The sequence below is a fragment of the Homo sapiens genome, chromosome 1 (assembly GCF_000001405.40).
Source record: "Homo sapiens chromosome 1, GRCh38.p14 Primary Assembly".
Lineage (NCBI taxonomy): Eukaryota > Metazoa > Chordata > Mammalia > Primates > Hominidae > Homo > Homo sapiens.
In genome coordinates, this window is record NC_000001.11 from 154,046,226 (window position 1) to 154,061,404 (window position 15,179).

The window sequence follows — 15,179 nt, forward strand, 5'->3', positions numbered from 1 at the left end:
TATATATTCTGCCCAGTTGCAATTATCAGAATAATGAGCCCTGAACAGAGCCATCATACTGACCTTGGTAGCTGTGATGAGCCGAGTTGCAGCTGCAAGGATCCTAACAGCCCTTAGCTGAACAACTTCAATCTGTACTTCATCCTGCTCAACAGGGTGGAGAGCAAGCTTAGGCTAAGAGGGAGTTTCTGTGGGGTGGACAGAGATGCTTTTGATAACTAGTTTGCTATTGTTTTTAACATTCAGTAAAAAACCTTGCCCATGCTTATTGCAGCACTATTCACAATAGCCAATATTTGGAGCCAACCTAAGTGTCCATCAACAAACAAATGGATAAAGAAAATGTGGTACATATGTACAACAGAGTACTATTCAGCCATAAAAAGAATGAGATCCTGTCATTTGCAACAACATGGATGGAACTAGAGATCATTATGTCAAGTGAAATAAGCCAGGCATAGAAAGACAAAGATAAACTTCCCATGTTCTCACTTATATATTTATGGGAGCTAAAAATTAAAACAGTTGAACTCATGGAGATAAAGAATAGAATGATGGGCTGTGCACGGTGGCTCACGCCTGTAATCCCAGCACTTTGGGAGGCCGGGTGGATCACTTGAGGTTAGGAGTTCAAGACCAGCCTGACCAACATGGTGAAACCCATTTCTACTGAAAATACAAAATTAGCTGGGTGTGGTGGCATGTGCCTGTAGTCTTAGCTACTTGGGAGGCTGAGGCAGGAGAGTCGTTTGAATCCGGGAGGCGGAGGTTGCAGTGAGCCGAGATCATGCCATCGCACTCCAGCCTGGGCAACAAGAGCGAAACTCCGACTCAAAACAAACAAAAAAGTAGAACAATGGTTACCAGAGGCTGGGAAGGGCAGTGGGTGGGTAGGGGGGCTATGGGGATGATTAATGGGCAGAAAAATATAGTTAGAATGAAAAAGGGCTAGTATTTGATAGCACAGCAGGGTGACTACAGTCAACAATAAGTTATTGTTTATTTAAAAATAACTAAAAGAGTATAATTGGATTGTCTGTAACACAGAAAGGATAAATGCTTGAGGTGGTGGATACCCCATTTACCCTGATGTAGTTAATATGCATTGTATGCCTATATCAAAATAACTCATATACTGTTGGGAACAGGCCCCCAAATCTGGCCATAAACTGGCCCCAAAAATGGCCATAAACAAAATCTCTGCAGCACTGTGACATGTTCGTTATGGCCATGATGCCCACGCTGAAGGTTGTGGGTTTACCAGAATGAGGACAAGGAACACCTGGCCCACTCAGGGTGGAAAACTGCCTAAGGCGTTCCTAAGCCACAAACAATAGCATGAGCAATCTGTGCCTTAAGGACATGTTCCTGCTGCAGATAACTAGCCAAAGCCCATCCCTTTGTTTCATGTAAGGAATGCTTTTAGTTAATCTATAATCTATAGAACCAATGCTTATCACTGGCTTGCTGTCAATAAATATGTGGGTAAATCTCTGTTCATGGCTCTCAGCTCTGAAGGCTGTGAGCCCCCTGATTTCCCACTCCACACTCTATATTTCTGTGTGTGTGTCTTTAATTCCTCTAGTGCCACTGGGTTAGGGTCTCCACGACTGAGCTGATCTCGGTAAGTGGTGCCCATACGTGGGGCTCCAACCTGGGTCAAAGGGTCATTGGAGCGACGGTTGGAGAATGTGGAACTAAGCTGGAGGACACCTGAGTACTCTTAAGCAATCCCTGTGGTGAGTAAGAAGGGGAGCTTGGAAGCATCAGGGTAACAATGGAACAAGTGTGGGCTCTAGTTTGTTCCACCTTGGAACATTTTCACACTGATGATGTGGAGGAAGGAAAGTATATCGAAATAACAGAAGAGGTGAAAGAGCAGGTTTGTTTGCCAGCTAAAGCTAAAGTGGCAAAGAGGAAGAGGTTCATCCCTACCCTTCTGCACCCCCTCCTTATTTTGAAGAAAAAGAGTGGCCTGACCCTCCAGATCTTTCTTTTCCAGAGGACACTGGGCAAAAAGTAGTTGCCCCAGTGACTGTTCAAGTAGCGCCTCAAGCAACCGCTCTCAGTTCTATTCAGGCAGGAATCCAGCAAGCTAGAAGAGAGGGTGATATAGAGGCTTGGCAGTTCCCTGTTAGGATACACCCCCCAGATCAACAAGGAAATATTATAGCTATGTTTGAGCTTTTTCCTTTTAAAATACTTAAAGAGTTTAAACAGGCCATTAATCAGTATGAGCCAGGTGTATGCCCGAAGTGTAAAAAAGGAAAACATTGGACTAATCAGTGTCACTCTAAGTTTGATAAAGATGGGAAACCGATTTTGGGAAATGCCATGAGGGGCCTATCCTGGGCCCTGTTCCAAACCAGGGCATTTCTGGCTCAGGCCACTCCCTCACCCCTGTACAATGTCTGTCCCCCACCACAGCTGGTAATGCCGCAGTAGATTTATGCTGCACAAAAGCTGTGAGTCTTCTGCCTGGGGAGCCCCAGCAAAAAGTACCTACGGGAGTCTGTGGACCCTTGCCAGCGGGGATGATAGGATTACTTCTAGGTAGATCTAGTTTAAATTTAAAAGGAGTGCAAGTACATACAGGAGTCCTTGATTCATATTACAGTGGGGAAATTCAAATTGTTATATCTACTTCTGTTCCCTGGAAAGCAGAGCCAGGAGAGCGTATAGCACGGCTCCTGATTGTGCTGTATGTGGAAATGGGGAAAAGTGAAAAACAAGAGGATTTGGGAGCACAAATAAACAAAGCAAAGCAGCTTACTGGGTGAATCAAACTACTGATAAACATCCTCCCTGTGAAATAACTATTCAGGGAAAGAAATTTAAAGGTTTGGTAGATACAGGAGTGGACATTTCAATCATTTCTCTACAGCACTGGCCATCTGTGTGGCCAATTCAACCCGCTCAATTTAACATAGTTGGAGTTGGTAAAGCCCCTGAAGTATATCAAAGTAGTTATATTTTGCATTGTGAAGGGCCCAATGGACAACCTGGGACTATTCAACCAATTATAACTTCTGTACCCTTAAATTTATGGAGAAGAGATTTATTACAACAATGGGGAGCACAAGTTCTAATTCCAGAGCAATTATATACCCCTCAAAGTCAACATATGATGCATGAAATAGGGTACGTCCCTAGTATGGGACTAGAAAAATACTTGCAGGGTTTGAAGGAACCGCTTCAAACAGAAAGAAAAGTTCCTGCCAAGGGTTTAGGATATCATTTTTGATGGCAGCCATTGTTAAGCCTCCAGAATCTATAGCTTTAAAATGGTTAACAGACAAGCCAATTTGGATAGAACAATGGCCGTTAAGTAAAGAGAAACTGGAGGCTTTAGAGGACTTAGTTACTGAACAATTAGAAAAAGGACACATAGCTCCAGCATTTTCCCCTTGGAATTCTCCAGTCTTTGTTATTAAGAAAAAATCAGGTAAATGGAGAATGCTGACAGATCTTAGAGTCATTAATTCAGTTATACAACCTATGGGGGCATTACAGCCAGGACTGCCTTCTCCTGCTATGATTCCAAAAAACTGGCCTTTAATGTCATAGATTTAAAAGACTGTTTCTTTACTATCCCCTTAGCTTAGCAAGACTGTGAATGGTTTGCATTTACAATTCCTGCAGTAAACAACCTGAAGCCTGCTAAGCGTTTTCATCGGAAAGTGTTGCCAGAAGGCATGTTAAACAGTCCAGCAATTTGCCAGAAGTATGTAGGGCAAGCAATTGAACCTACTCATAAAAAATTTTCACAGTATTACATTATTCCTTATATGGACGATATACTTTGTGCTGCCCCCACTCGAGAAATATTACCCCAATATTATGATCATTTACAAAATTCGATTTCTTGCACTGGTTTAATTATAGCTCCTGACAAAATTCAGACTACTACTCCTTACTCCTACTTAGGAACCTTAGTAAGTGACACTACAATAGTGCCACAGAAAGTAACCATATGTAGGGATCAATTGAAAACATTAAATGACTTTCAAAAATTACTAGGGGACATTAATTGGATATGACCTGCTCTAGGCATTCCTACCTTGCCATGAGTAATCTATTTTCTATCCTTAGAGGAGATCCTAGTCTCACTAGCCCTCGACAATTAACAAAGGAGGCTGAGGCAGAGTTACAGCTGATTGAAAAGCAAGTCCATAAAGCTCAAAAGATAGAATAGATCCAGAGAAGACTCCAGATTTGCTAATGTTTTCAATTCAGCATTCACCTACTGGTGTTATTGTCCAAGAGCAGGACTTAGTAGAATGTTTTTTTCTTCCACATACTAATTCACAGACTCTAACTCCTTATTTGGATCAAATTGCTACCTATGATAGGAAATGGGAGAACTCAGATTGTCAAATTACATGGATATGATCCCAGAAAAATTATTGTCCCTCTCACGAAGGCATAAATACAGCAAGCTTTTATAAATAGTCTTTCTTGGCAAATCCATTTAGCTGATTTTGTGGGTATTCTCAATAATCATTTTCCTGAAACAAAATTATTTCAATTTTTGAAATTAACTAATTGGATTCTCCCTAAAATAATTAAATTTAAACCAATTGAAGATGCTGAAAATGTCTTCACAGTTGGGTCTAATAATGGTAAAGCTTCTTATTCTGGCTCAAAAGGTAAAGTTTTTCAGATGCCCTATACTTCAGCTCAAAAAGCAGAGCTTGTAGCTGTAATTGAGGTATTGACTGCTTTTGATATGCCTATTAATGTGAGTTCCAATTCTTCATATGGGGTACATTCTACACAGTTAGTTGAAAATGCTCAGCTACAATTCCACACTGATGAGCAACTGATGACTTTATTTACCCAATTGCAAATAGCAGTTAGGAGTAGAATGCACCCTTTTTACATCACTCACATTAGGGCTCATGTAACTCTTCCAGGACCTTTAACTGAAGGGAATCAAATGGCTGATTGCCTAGTTGCTACTACAATATATAATGCTAGACATTTTCACAATTTTTTTTTTGAGATGGAGTCTTGCTCTGTTGCCCAGGCTGGAGTGCAGTGGCGTGATCTTGGCTCACTGTAAGCTCTGCCTCCTGGGTTCACGCCATTCTCCTGCCTCAGCCTCCCAAGTAGCTGGGACTACAGGCACCCGCTACCACACCCAGCTAATTTTTTTATTTTTATTTTTAGTAGAGATGGGGTTTCACTGTGTTAGCCATGATGGTCTCGATCTCCTGACCTCGTTATCCAACTGCCTCAGCCTCCCAAAGTGCCGGGATTACAGGTGTGAGCCACTGTGCCTGGCCGACACTTTCACAATTTAACCCATGTTAATGTCTCTGGTCACAAAGCGCAGATACAGCATTACCTGGAAAGAAGCTAAAACTATTATCCAGCGATGCCCAACTTGCCAGATGGTACATTTCTCATCTTTTACAGCAGGAGTTAATCCTCAAGGATTGAAAACTAATTCTCTTTGGAAAATGGATGTCACACATGTTCCCTCATTTGGGAGACTAGCTTATGTACATGTATGTGTGGACACCTTTTCTCACTTTGTCTGGGCTACAGGCCAATCAAGAGAGTCTTCTGCCTCTGTTAAACATCACCTTTTGCAGTGTTTCCTGGTGATGGGCATTCCAGCTTCTATTAAAACAGATAATGCCCCAGGCTATAGTAGCCAAGCTCTAGCTACATTTTTCTCTATATGGAATATTAAACACATTACTGGTATCCCATATAATTCTCAAGGACAAGCCATAGTGGAAAGAATGAACCTCTCCCTAAAATAGCAGTTGCAAAAGCAAAAGGGGAGAAACAGGGACTACGGGACCCCCGTATGCAACTGAATCTAGCATTATTGACTTTAAATTTTTTGAGCCTGCCTAAAGGCCAGATGCTATCAGCAGCTGAACAGCATCTACAGAAACCAGCTGCAAAGACAGAAGCAGAACAATTGGTTTGGTAGTGAGATCCGTTAGCAAAAAGTTGGGAAATAGGTAAAATAATAACTTGGGGTAGAGGTTATGCTTGTGTTTCTCCTGGACCAAATCAACAGCCGATTTGGATACCATCACGACACCTGAAACCTTATCATGAGCCAGATGCTGAAGAAGAGATTCTGGGAGAAACCCGAGGATCCCCTGGTTGCAGCCATGTCAAGACTGATGCTGAGGAGGACCCCAACTGTCATGAGCAACACCCGTCGAACACAGCCACCTACCCGGGGACAGATCAAGAAGCTGTCAAAGATGGAGGAAGAAAACCTGAGGAAAGTGGGACAACCAGTCACAATGAGTAATTTAACAATAGTTATGATAGTGGTGATCACCGTTGCTCTGAGTATTCCTTCAACAAGGGCTGACACAGAGAACAATTATACTTATTGGGCATATTTATCAATCTTGGCTGGCAATAATGCCTGGATGTAATCACTCTATGATGCAGTTACACATGCTTTCTGATCTCAGTATTTACCATAATAAATCTGCTCCTCTAATTGAGGCATATTGCCCTCAAAAACCTATTCGTAAACAGAATTGAATCTGGCCAGAAATAATGAATGTACTTGTTTGGGAAGATTGCACTGCAGAACAGGCAGAGATGCTGCACAGTCATTATTGATTGGTCCCCAAAGGGGATGTTTAGCATGAATTGCACCTCCCAGTCTGTGTGCCATAGCCACACTATGTTCAGCTGGTCTGAACAAAATGGTCAGATGGTAGAAATGATAAGAGGTATGGCAAGAGTTCCTACTATCTGGAAACATGGCAGTGTAGTGGCACTTCAACCTCAAATGATATGGCCCGCTCTAGGGGCTAAACATAAGGATTTGTGGAAACTATTAATGGCTCTTAATAAGATCCAAATTTGGGAAAGAATAAAAAAGCATCTAGAAGGACACTCTGCAAACTTGTCTTTGGATATTGCAAAATTAAAAGAACAAATATTTAAAGCATCCCAGACACACCTGACCTTAATGTCAGGAACTGGAGTGCTTGAAGGAGCTGCAGACAGATTAGCAGCTAGTAACCTGTTAACATGGATAAAAACACTTGGAGGCTCTGTGATTTCGATGATGATTGTGCTTTTAATCTGTGTTGTTTGCCTTTATATAGTCTGCAGATGCAGATCCTGACTTCTGAGAGAAGTAGCTCACCATGATAAAGCCGCCTTTGCTTTTATTGTCTTGCAAAAATAAAAAGGGAGAACATGTTGGGAACAGGCCCCCAAATCTGGCCATAAACTGGCCCCAAAAATGGCCATAAACAAAATCTCTGCAGCACTGTGACATGTTCGTTATGGCCATGATGCCCACGCTGAAGGTTGTCGGTTTACCAGAATGAGGGCAAGGAACACCTGGCCCACCCAGGGCGGAAAACCACTTAAGGCATTCCTAAGCCACAAACAATAGCATGAGCAATCTGTGCCTTAAGGACATGTTCCTGCTGCAGATAACTAGCCAAAGCCCATCCCTTTGTTTCCCGTAAGGAATGCTTTTAGTTAATCTATAATCTATAGAAACAATGCTTATCACTGGCTTGCTGTCTATAAATATGTGGGTTAATCTCTGTTCATGGCTCTCAGCTCTGAAGGCTGTGAGCCCCCTGATTTCCCACTCCACACTCTATATTTCTGTGTGTGGGTCTTTAATTCCTCTAGTGCTGCTGGGTTAGGGTCTCCACAACCAACCTGGTCTTGGCAATGTACCCCATAAATACATATATTGTTATGTATTACAAACATTTGGAAAAAACTTATTAGATAGACATATTTGTTTTTCTCTTCTTCAAAGCATTCTTTAAGGATGGGAACCATATCTTATAACAGTGCCAAGTACTCTGTGGGGTTTTCACTAAAGATGACATTTTCCATGCCTGGTTGACAGAATGCCAGGTAGGGGCACTCTAAGGCTTTTCCTGGGCTGCTGACACCCTCCTCATTACCACTGCCTCCCTATCTCCCACAGTATGGTTCCTCAATAGAAGAATAGAAGCAGAGCAGAGCAAATAACCAATACCTGAGAAAACACAATGACTTTGCCAGTATCTTCATTTACTGTCTGGATGGTGCCATGAACCACAGCTGTGCCAACAATCTTCCCTGTAACTTGCCCCCTCCTATTAACAACAGCCACGGTCTGATTACTGATGGAGAAGTGAACGATGGATTGGGGCTGGGGGCCACCTTCAGACATTACCTGGAATTTAAATATACCATTGAATGCCTAGAACATGAGGGAGAAATCATGTCTCTTTTCCCAACATTTTGTCCAAGCAACTTGACTTCTTCATCTTCCCCCATTTCTTGAACAACATATCCCATATCAACTCAAATGCAGAAGAAATGGAAGTACTGCAAATGATCCATGGGATTCCAAGAGAGTTTTTATATGATGTACATCATAGGTCAGGGAAAATACTAATCTTGTTCTTTATCAGATCCACTAGTACTTGGGTGAGAGTAAATAAGAGATCAATAGGAAGAGAGGTGTGTGTGTGTGAGAGAGAGAGAGAGGTAAGGAGAAAAGGTAAATCTTATTTTTTCTGCCTGTAAGTTCACCTGCATCATATTCATTGGAATCAGTGTCATTTTCTCTGGAAGAAGTCTGAATGGAGGAAACACCTTGAAGGAGAAAACCAAAAGGACAACAGTAACTAACTAGAGTCAATTTTATAACATATCATGGTCATTTAAATTTTTTTTTTTTTTAGACAGAGTCTTGCTCTGTTGCCCATGCTGAAGTGCAGTGGCACGATCACAGCTCACTGCAGCCTTGAACTCCTGGGCTCAAGCAATCCTCCGGCTTTGGCCTCCTGAGTGGTTGGGACCAGAAGTGTGCACCACCATGCCTGACTAATTTCTTTCTTTCCTTTCCTTCCTTTCCTTCTCTTTCTTTTCTTTCTCTTTCTTTCTTTTCTTTCTTTCTTTCTTTCTTTCTTTCTTTCTTTCTTTCTTTCTTTCTTTCTTTCTTTCTTTCTTTTTCTTTCTTTCTTTCTCTCTCTCCCTCTCTCTTTCTTTCTTTCTTTCTTTGTCTCTCTCTCTCTCTCTTTTTCTTTTTGAGAAGGAGTTTCGCTCTGTCACCCAGGCTGGAGTGCAGTGGCGAGACCTCAGCTCACTGCAACCTCCGCCTCCCAGGTTCAAGCGATTCTCCTGCCTCAGCCTCCCAAGTAGCTGGGATTTCAGGCACCTGCCACCATGCCCAGCTAATATTTTGTATCTTAGTAGAGACAGGGTTTCACCATGTTGGCCAGGCTGGTCTCAAACTCCTAACCTCAGGTGATCCACCTGCCTCAGCCTCCCAAAGTGCTGGGATTACAGGCGTGAGCTACCACGCCTGTCCATGCCTGACTAATTCCTTAATTTTTGGCAGAGATGGGGTCTCCCTATGTTACCCAGGGTGGTCTCAAACTCCTAGGCTCAAGTCATGCTCCTGCATCAACCTCTCAAAGTGCTGGGATTACAGGCATGAGCCACCAAACCCAGCCCATCATGATCTTATTCTAAGGAAAACTCTTAATTATCTACCAAAAAGTTACACACAAAGATATGTAATTTTATGTGTAATAGCAAAAAATTTAAAAGTATTTAAGTAGGAATACTAAAATAAGTTATATATCTACTCACTAGAGTAAAAGTGATCATTAAAATTATGTTTACAGTTAACTTTCTTTTTTTTGAACACATATAAAAGTAGAACAGCTGGGCTGGCGCAGTGTCTCACACCTGTAATCCCAGCTACTCAGGAGGCTGAGGCAGGAGAATCGCTTGAACCCAGAAGGCAGAGGTTGCACTGAGCCAAGATCGCGCCATTGCACTCCAGCCTGGGCAACAGAGCGAGACTCTGTCTCAAACGAACAAAAAAACAATGGTTGCCTCTAAGTAGTGAAATTACAGGTGATTTTCATTTAACACCTTTAAAATTTGTGCTTTCCACATTTTCTTTTCTTTTCTTTTTTTAAGAGACAGGGTATCATTCTGTCACCCAGACTGAAGTGCAGTGGCACGATCATGGCTTATTTCAGCCTGGAACTCCTCCTGGGCTCAAGTGACACTCCTGTTTCAGTCTCCCAAGTAGCTGGGACCACAGGCATGCACCACTACACATGTTTTTCCAAATTTTCTATAAGAACTGTTTTATACAGAGAGACAAAACCCAAAAATACTGCATGTTGTGCAAGAGTTAGACACCATCCTTTTTTTCAGTCAAATGATTTTTTTTCTTGAGACAGGGTCTCTCTCTGTCACTCAGGCTGGAGTGCAATGGCACAATCACAGCTCACTGCAGCCTCAACCTCCAGGGCTCAAGTGATCCTCCTACTTTAGCCTCTTGAGTAGCTGGAACTACAGGCACACCATGTCTGGCTAATTTATTTTATTTTATTTTTATTTTTGTAGAGACAGAGTCTCACTATGTTGCCCAGGGTGGTTTCATACTCCTGGGTTTAAGTGATGTTCCCACCTCAGCCTCCCAAAGTGCTCACATGGTGGTGTGAGCCACTGTGCCCAGCCAGTCAAATGATTTTTAACTTGTATAAACTAACAGAAAAAGACAAATGATGTTAAGCAAGAAAAAGTACAAATTTTGGATGAGATAATTTCCTTACTTCAATGTGCCGAGGAGTTGATGTGTATTTTCTTCCCATCTTGTCCTTGGCAATAGCCACAAGTGTGGTTTGCCCAATAGTGGTAGCTCGAAGAATATAATTTTCAGAGTATTCGTCCTGTTGCTCCATTGGTCTGCAAAAACCCATGTATTTTCAGGTGAGAAAGATTTTTGTTTTGTTTCAAGACAGGGTCTTACTCTGTCGCCCAGGCTGGAGTGCAGTGGCATGATCTCAGCTCATTGCAGCCTCAACCTCCCAGACTCAATGTATCCTCCCACCTCAGCTTCCTGAGTAACTGGGACTACAGGCACATACCATCACTCCTGGCTAATTCTCTTATTTTTTGTAGAGCCGGGGTCTCACTGTGTTGCCCAGGCTGGTCTTGAATTTTGGATTCAAGCAATCCTCCTGCCACAGCCTCCCATCATGCTGGGATTGCAGCATGAGTCACCACGCTTGGCCAAGATTAGGTTCTGAAAGTGGCCAGTGGTGCATCTTTCCAAGGTGCTTAACATTTTCTGCTCATTTTAACTCTGGTTAGGGGGAATTGCAAGAAAATAAATTTCCAGAGTGAAGACAAATTTCAAGGGAACGGTGGAAGGCTCCTGAGAGGCAAAAATTTGTTCTAAGGCTCCAGAGGAATAAGGGCAATATAAAAATAGACTGGTAAAATTGCAAATACTAAATTGCCTGAAATTCCTGAATTTCTCCTTTCTCAGAGGGGAATACCAGTATGTCTGCCTCTAAATATATTTTTAAAGGGTCCTCTATCCTGAAGCACCCCCAAAAGATATCATCCAAGGAGAGGTTTCAGAAAATGGAAATATTAATGACATGTGACCTTAGCCCCCAAACAAGGCATCTGAGGACCTCGAATGTGTGTGTGTGTGTGTGTGTGTGTGTGTGTGTGTGTGTGTGTGTGTATTTTAAGAGATGTAGGCCGTGCTATGTTGCCCAGGCTGGAGTGCAGTGGCTATTCACAGGCACAATTATATTATAGTGTGCTAGAGCCTCCAACTCCTAGGCTCAAGTGAATCTCCTGCCCTAGCCTCCTGAGTAGCTGGGACTACAGGCATGTACCCTCACGCCAGGCTCAAATGGATATTTTGTAGAGAGCTGAATATGGGAAGAGCGTATGGGCTGAAATGTATTCTAACAGAAAAGGAATGGAGAAAATCTGAAATAATCTAAGGTAAGGGAAAGCTGACCAGGTCACTAGGAGGGAGAGTCTTATGATATGCAGAGTGGGAAGGAAGTATTGAAATGGTACTTACGTCAGGGTGACAATGGCAGAAGCCAACTGCAGTTTGAGTTCCATGTTTCTGAAGTATTTATTTTGGAATGGGCGTTTGGAAGAGCCAAGAACCCTCACAGTCACTAACACAGTTTTGTCTATTTCAACCTAGTAGTTAAAAAGAAAAAGATTTTAGCAAAGGTGTCTCATTCACCAATGGCAGTCTAACTCTTAGAGGGCAGTGTACTTTTTTTTTCTTTCATGCTAAATGATCCTGGTCAGCCTTCAATCAAATAAGCTTAATCTATGTGTATTGTTTTAAGTTGGTTTTTAACAGTCTATTTATCTTCATCTGTTTAATGTTGAAATGTTGTTCTTTAAGGGCAGGTATTTCCATTAACATTACCAGAAGTCCTGGTATACACACACAGTAGCTGAGCAGAGACTATATTAAGGAATGCTGGGTAGTGAGAATAAGTCTTGCTTAATTTCTGAGATAAAACAAACATGTCTCACCTTATCAATCAGATCAAGCTCCAGCTCTTGTATGTCTGACACCCTGAGGTGGGCTGTTGCTGGACCCAAGAAAGCCAAACAAAGATCATAGACCTCCAAGGTAAAAAATCCAGGATGTAATGGAACTAACTGGAAGTAAGAAGATGGTAGCTGGATAAAGAAGCAAACATGCTCCAAGCATAATCAAAGCAACTATTTTCACCCAAAGCAGAATAGAAAACATCTTGCTTTCTTTGAACTGGGGACTCTCAGACGTCACGTAACATTATTCAGGCATAGCATAATATGTACACTTAATGTGATGTTTCCGATTATGGCAAAATCTGTACTTTAACAAATATAGGTTGGGCGCAGTGGCTCACGCCTATAATCCCAGCACTTTGGGAGGCTGAGGCAGGAGGATCACTTGAGCCCAGGAGTTCAAGAACAGCCTGGGGAACAAAGCAAAATCCTGGTCTCTATAAAAACTTTTTAAAAAAAATTAGCAAGGCTGGGCGTGGTGGCACATGCCTGTAATCCCAGCACTTTGAGAGGCTGAGGCAAGAGGATTGCTTGAGCCCTGGAGTTTGAGACAAGCCTGGGCAACATGGTGAAACCCTGTCTTTACCCAAAACAAAACAAAAATTAGCTGGGCACGGTGGTCCGTGCCTGTAGTCCCAGTTACTCAGGAGGCTGAGGGAGGATCACTTGAATTTGGGAGGTTGAGGATGCAGGGAGTTGAGACTGTGCCACTGCACTTCAGCCTGGGAAACAGAGTGAGACCTTGTCTCAAAAAAAAAAAAAAATTAGCTGGGCATGGTGGCACACACCTATAATCCCAGCTACTCAGAAGGCTGAGGTGGATCACTTGAATCTAAGAGTTCAAGGCTACAGTGAGCTATGATCATGCCACGCACTCCAGCCTGAGCAACAGAGTGAGACCCTATTTCTACTGAACAAAACGAAACAAAAACAAATAGTAAAGAGCAGAATTTATGTTGATTGAATTCAAGCAGAATCCAACATATGTATTCAGCTTCTCAATTATAAATAGGGAAAGGATGTCATGAAGAAAAATCGCGTGCATTTATGCCACAATCACTAGTAGGGGGAGAAAGCATTAGGCCAACTAACACTGTTTTTTCTTTCTTTGTGCTACAGTTCCTGCACAATAGCATGTTTTTTTCACATCATTTGTACCTTAGTCTTCCCTTTTTAAAACATATATTATGACTAGGGTAAGTTAAATTACTTTAAGCTGTTAGAAAGGAACTATATACATATATTAATAGATGGTATTATTTTTATTACTATAAATCAACTAAAAACAAATCCTTTGGCATACTGACTATGGAGTTAGGTTAATGTTTTGAGTTGTCATGTCCTGGCTGAAAACATCATATATTCATGTTATAAAGTCAACAGTGGCCTGGCGCAGTGGTTCACACCTGCAATCCTAGCACTTTGGGCAGATCACTTGAGGTCAAGAGTTCAAGACCAGCCTGGCCAACATGGTAAAACCCTATCTCTACTAAAAATACAAAAATTAGCCAGACATGGTGGTGGGCTCCTGTAATCCCAGCTACTCAGGAGGCTGAGGCAGAAGAATTGTTTGAACCTGGGAGGTGGAGGTTGCAGTGAGCCGAGATCGCACCACTGCACTCCAGCCCAGGCAACAGAGCGAGACTCTATCTCAATAAATAAAGTCAATAGTATATTTAAATATTTAAGTATCTACACAGATGTGTGCTTTGAAACTTATAAAAATGAAACTTCTTTTAACGGAAATCTTCTAACTGAGATCTCTTATACTGTCTCTGTTCAACCAGAAGCAAAAAAAGCACTCCCTTTTGGTTGAAGAATCTATATAGGTTAAAGAAAGAAAGGAAAATGTTACTTCTGTAACAAGTTTTAGACACAAAATGGAATTTTTCCAATCTCCTCAGAATGAGCTTTGGCCTGAGACCATCAATCTGGGACTGTCTCTAGAGCTCACCTCAACAGAGCTTTCTGCTTCCATGTAAGTGATGGTGACAACACCCTGCTCACTGCTGTTGACTAAAAAATAACCAGATCCTTCCACAAGGCTAAATGTTTCCTATGGAAAAATCAGACAAACAATATTCTGTTTGCTTCAGTTTATAAATAGCTCAAAGGAAATAATTTCTACCTACCTAAGAAAGAATATGGGATAAAAAGATTAAAGTGAATAGACAAAAGACAAAATACAATTATTAAAGTACAATTTTTAAGGACAGTGCAACTATTATATATGTGTTTTACATATATGTATCAATTATTTTCAACACATAAGTAAGTTTTTTAATTGTTATGCTATTAATTTTAATAACTTCCCCTCCAATATGATTCCATTTAACTAGACTCATACAGCTTCTACCTTTACATCAGGGTGGTTATAGATGGTGGCATTCTCAGGCACTACAGTTACATCATCTACCAGGAGCAGTTCCACATCTACAGATCTGGGCAAGTTGGAAATTTCCTAGAAATATAATAAGAACCACAAAAGTGAATATAAACATCTAATTCTTGGCCGCCCACGGTGGCTTACGCTTGTAATCCCAGCACTTTGGGAGGGTAAGGCAGGCAGATCACCTGAGGCCAGGAGTTTGAGACCAGCTTGGCTAACATGGTGAAACCCCATCTCCACTAAAAATACAAAAATTAGCCAGGCATGGTGGTGGGTGTCTGTAATCCCAGCTAGTTGGGAGGATGAGGCAGGAGAATCGCTTGAACCCGGGAGGCAGAGGTTGCAGTGAGCCAAGATCATGTCACTGCACTCCATCCTGGGTGACAGAGCGAGACTTCATCTCAAATAATAATAATAATAATAATAATAA

General features: G+C 41.8%; 1 protein-coding gene across 8 annotated transcripts in view; it reads right to left on the reverse strand.

The window, feature by feature from the left end:
* Positions 1 to 15,179, reverse strand: part of NUP210L (nucleoporin 210 like) — a 162,427-nt gene that overhangs the window by 53,536 nt on the left and 93,712 nt on the right. For all 8 annotated transcript variants that reach the window (XM_011510122.2, XM_011510123.2, NM_001159484.1 and 5 more), the window contains 8 exons: positions 14,717 to 14,821; positions 14,315 to 14,416; positions 12,340 to 12,468; positions 11,864 to 11,991; positions 10,590 to 10,722; positions 8,545 to 8,607; positions 8,003 to 8,182; positions 64 to 144 (listed from right to left, as the gene is read on the reverse strand). In XM_011510122.2, the coding sequence (XP_011508424.1) occupies positions 64 to 144; positions 8,003 to 8,182; positions 8,545 to 8,607; positions 10,590 to 10,722; positions 11,864 to 11,991; positions 12,340 to 12,468; positions 14,315 to 14,416; positions 14,717 to 14,821 (921 nt within the window). The remainder of the gene's footprint in view (positions 1 to 63; positions 145 to 8,002; positions 8,183 to 8,544; positions 8,608 to 10,589; positions 10,723 to 11,863; positions 11,992 to 12,339; positions 12,469 to 14,314; positions 14,417 to 14,716; positions 14,822 to 15,179) is intronic.